Source organism: Homo sapiens, chromosome 13 (assembly GCF_000001405.40).
Source record: "Homo sapiens chromosome 13, GRCh38.p14 Primary Assembly".
Lineage (NCBI taxonomy): Eukaryota > Metazoa > Chordata > Mammalia > Primates > Hominidae > Homo > Homo sapiens.
Window position 1 is genome coordinate 97,909,168 of NC_000013.11, and position 4,773 is coordinate 97,913,940.

General features: G+C 41.1%; 2 annotated features.

The window, feature by feature from the left end:
* Positions 2,927-3,132: a silencer, noted in NCBI's record as "fragment chr13:98564348-98564553 (GRCh37/hg19 assembly coordinates)". NCBI's record gives its function as "represses an EF-1alpha promoter that drives an FKBP-Casp9 reporter gene in an ReSE screen in HepG2 liver carcinoma cells and phorbol 12-myristate 13-acetate-treated (for megakaryocytic differentiation) K562 erythroleukemia cells {active_cell/tissue: HepG2 | K562(+PMA)}" and the evidence as "EXISTENCE:reporter gene assay evidence [ECO:0000049][PMID:32094911]".
* Positions 4,239-4,521: a silencer, noted in NCBI's record as "fragment chr13:98565660-98565942 (GRCh37/hg19 assembly coordinates)". NCBI's record gives its function as "represses an EF-1alpha promoter that drives an FKBP-Casp9 reporter gene in an ReSE screen in HepG2 liver carcinoma cells {active_cell/tissue: HepG2}" and the evidence as "EXISTENCE:reporter gene assay evidence [ECO:0000049][PMID:32094911]".

Genomic DNA, 4,773 nt, shown 5'->3' on the forward strand with positions numbered 1-4,773 from the left:
CTTGGCTGCAAGATGACTGCAGATGTTCCAGGTCTCACACACTAACTCAACAACCTCTAGTCAAAAATAGCAGCATTTCACCCTAGGGTTTTCTTTGTTTTAGTGAGGAAAATCTCTCCCCAAATCTTCAAATAAGATACCCTCAGATCCCATTAGCCAGAACTCAGCCTCAAACCATTTCCTAGGAATGTGAATGAGGTTGTCACTTAAGTCAATCACAATTTACCTCCTGGGACTGTGAACGAGCCACAGATTCAAAGTTTCTACCAACAAGGAAAAAGGTGGTAATTGCTGCAAGGTAATATCCAACATTTCTGTATCGAGGGAGGGAAATACAACACTTTTTCCTCAAAGAACCAAAGAACAGGCTTTCGTGTAGCTTCTTCCTTCTTCCCCCATAAGCTGGAGAGATCGCCAAAGTAAAATTTTTAGTAAAAGGAGCACCAAAAATTTATCTTCCTTTCCACATCTCTGCCTTTAAGAAAATATATTATGGTGATTTTTGCTTTTGTTCTTTACTTTTTTGGCTGTTTACCACCTTTGGGGATATAACAATAAATAAACCAAAGCCCCTGAATTCTAGGAGCTCATGAATGATGTCAAGAGAGTGGTAAGTTTTTAATCCTTCTTGAGTTAATTTTTGTATATGGTGAAATGTAAGGGCCCAGTTTCATTCTTCTGTATATGACTAGCCAGTTACCCTAGTGCCATTTATTGAATAGGGAGTCTTTTCCCCATTGCTTCTTATTGTCAATTTCAGTGAAGATCAGATGGTTATAGACCATCTATAAAAATCTAGAGTCTAAAACTATAAAAATCCTAGGAGCAAGCCTAGAAACTACCTTTCCAGATATTGGCCTTGGTAAAGAATTTATAACTAAAAGTCCCCAAAAGTAATTGCAACAAAAACAAAAATTGATGAGTGGGACATAATTAAACTAAAGAGCTTCTGCACAACAAAATAAACTATCAACAGAGTAAACAGACAACCTACAGAATGGGAGAAACTACTTGCAAACTATGCATCTGACAAAGGTGTAATATCCATAATCTATAAGGAACTCAAACAATTCAACAAGCAAAAAACAAATAACCGCATTAGGAAAAGTGGCAAAGGATATGAACAAATATTTCCCAAAAGAAGACCTACATGTGGCCAACAAACATATGAAACAAATGCTCAATATCTCTAATCATTAGAGAAATGCAAATCAAAATCATACTGAGATACCAGGTCATACTAGTCAGAATGGCTATTACTAAAAAGACAAAAATTAACAGATGTTGGTGAGGTTTCTGGGAAAAGGGTACACTCACACAACGTTGGCAGGAATATAAATTAGTTCAGCCAGCGTGGAAAGCAGTTTGGAGATTTCTCAAAGAACTAAAAATAGAATTACTATTTGGCCCCGAAATCCTATCACTGGGTATGTATCTAAAAGAAAATAAATCATTCTACAAAAAGATATACGCACTGGTATGTTTATCACAGCAATATTCACAATAGCAAAGACATAAAATCAACCTAGGTGCCCACCAATGGTGGCTTAAAGAAAATATGGTACATATACACCATGGAATACTACACAGCCATAACAAAGAATGAAGGCATGTCCTTTGCAGCAACATAGATGGAGTTGAAGGCCATTATCCTAAGCAAATTAACACAGGAACAGAAAACCAAAAACTGCCACGTTCTTACTTATAAGTGGAAGCTAAACATTGGGTCTACATGGACATAAAGCTGGAAACAATAGACACTGGAGACTACTAGAGGGGGAAAGGAGGAAGGAGGCAAGGGTTGAAAAACTACCTATCAGGTACTATACTTACTACTTGGGTGATGGGATCATTTGTACACCAAATTTCAGCAACACATGATTTACCCATAAAACAAACCTGCACATGTACTCTCTGAACTTAAATTAAAAGTTTAAGAGAGAGAGGAGAGGAGAACACTCTGTGTACAAAGGAGAGACCAGTGACTGAAGTCAGGAAGTGAGCAAAGGGGTCAAGAGCTACCTTCTGCTCTGGAGAGCTGGGTGGTGCATTGGCTGTAAACAAAAGGAAGCCCAGGAGACATCTGCTTAAGACTTATCTTAGACACTGACTTTAGAAGGAAGAAGCAAGACCTTAGTAAGGTAGGAAAGTGCCAGGGAAACAGGGCAAAGCTTCTTCAGGCAAAGCTTGTCTGTTTGACAGAAGCCCTCCCTGAGCTGTCTCAGGAACTTGAGTGAAACAGCAGTGACTCACACAGGACACCCCCTCAAAACAAGGCAGGGAGAGGCACTGCTGGCCATCCCAGCCAAGGGACATCACAGGAGCAAAGAATCAGGAGCAAAGGTGAGAATCCCAATGCCAAATCTGTACATATGAGAGATGGGTATGGAATGGAGACAATTGAAATCCAGAACTGCACCACATGCCATTAGTTCATAAGAGAACAATGCTAACGATGACTGTGAAGATGTCAGTGATGATGAAGACAATGACAACAATCGTGTGATGGCTGTGGTCACCTTGACACATCGGCTGGGTTAGTGGAGGTTATCCCTGCAGTGCCACCTGCAGGTAAACTCGAGAAAGACCTGGCCCTTTCAGTCCCTTGACCCACAAAGAGAAGATCCAAGTATCAACCTGAAGTCTTGGTTGATACTTTTAGAGCAAGATGTTGTTAAATATTTAGCTAAGGATTTGCAGTTGGATTTTCATCCATACCAACATGACTGCTACGGTTCTGTTTGAAATGTTCACAGCTCAGAAAATTGCACCACCCTACAAGTTAATCAGCTTTTCTATACATAGTTTCTTCTAGTGTGTAATTACTGGCCGGGCTTTATATTATTTTAGGATAGTGTCAGCAGCTAATTGTGGTACAGTCTGAATGCTTTGAAATGAGCTCGGCTGACTGTGAGAATAGCTCAGCAAATTTAAGGCTGTGTGTGCATCATTTAAAAAGTCTATTGTTTAGCAGGACACTGAACATGGCAGATTAACGGTGGAGTCCAATTCAAAGGCAAGTGATTATGGAATCCGACCTGCCGCACACTTCACTTTGAACTTCCTAAGCTGCTCATTCTTTGCTACCTACTTACCACACTCAACTCCCAGCGAATGTTTGTGCTGGCCCACATGCACAGGAAAGCCTCCAGCCCTGGAGAACAGCTGAGCGTCAAACATGGCTACAGGCTCACAAAAATCAAGTCATTTGGACTGCGTAGGAGGGAGTGTCATTCTTGCCTCAGGTTTCTTTTAAGAGAAGGAATTTCCTTTCCATTACCCTGGAGGCAAAAATGTAGGAAGAATCCTTCTGGCCCCTTTTGGCTTCCTTAGCTACTATTCTATTTTTGGTTTGTTTGTTTGTTTGTTTGTTTTGGGGTTTTTTTGGGTTTGGGGTTTTGTTTGTTTGTTTGTTTGGTTTTGGCACTGAGTCCCCCTCTATTGCCCAGGCTGGAGTGCAGTGGCACAATCTCAGTTCACTGCAATTTCCGCCTCCAGGGTTCAAGTGATTCTCATACCTCAGCCTCCTGAGTAGCTGGGATTACAGGCGCACACCACCACAGCTGGCTAATTTTTGTATTTTTACTAGAGATGGGGTTTCACCATGTTGGCCAGGCTGGTCTCGAACACCTGACCTCAAATGATCCACCCGCCTTAGCCTCCCAAAGTGCTGGGATTACAGGCCTGAGCCACCATGCTGGGCCTTTTAATTTAATTTTATTTTATTTTATTTTATTTTATTTTATTTATTTATTTATTTATGTTGAGATTGAGTAGCTCCAGTTCTGTAGGGTATGGATAATGGATGAGAGCACCGTATCTGATGGATACATTTGGGAAAAGGAAGGAACATTAGTGATTCAGCCACTTCCACTCACTCTATCCATATTCTGATTTCAAGATACAATTGTTTTCCCCTTCCACATTTCAAGCAACTTGCCCCCACAGAGGAACCCCTGCACGGATTCAGGTCAAATGGTGTTGTCCAATAGTTTTCCCAATAATTCAGAAAATTACATAAATTCTACATATTGATTTAACCAAAATCGTAATGTCACTCCAGTGGGAGGATGGGAAAGAGGAAGCAGTACAACAAAGGTAAATACTTAACTGCCATAATAGGAAATTAATAGGTAATGTCTAAAATTAATGAGTCAAAGGATACTATTGAGAAATCTAGAACAGGATATATGCCAGAAGAAACAGCCAAAACTGTCTTAAGAAGTTGCCAGCAGGGAAGGGAATGAAATGGACTGGAGAACAGTGGGTGTCTTAGTCAGCTGGGCTGCCATAACAGAATACTACAGGCCGGGTACAAACAACAGACATTTATTTCTTGCATTTCTAGAGGCTGAGAGTCCAAGATCTAAGTGCTGACAAGTTAGGTTCCCAGTGAGGGTTCTCTCCCTGGCTTGCAGACAGCCATCTTTCTCCTGTGTCCTCTCATGGCCTTTCTTCTGTATTTGCAGAGAGAGAGCCAGCTCTGGCATCTCCTCCTCCTCCTAATGAGGACACCAGTACTATGGGATTAGGGTCCCACCCTTAAGTGTGCAATGCCAACAGATTGGTGTTTGCTATTGAGTGAAAGGGGTGCCAGAGATGTATAGATGTTAACAGAAGATAACTGAGAAGGACTTCCCCTTAAACAAACTTTAGTCATTTCTCAGCCCTCTTCTCAACTAGGTCTTGGCCTTGGCCTACTGAGCCCAGTTTTAGCAAAGAATCCTGCTAAGTCAGTTTATCAAGAATATCCCCATCCTGATATCCAATCGA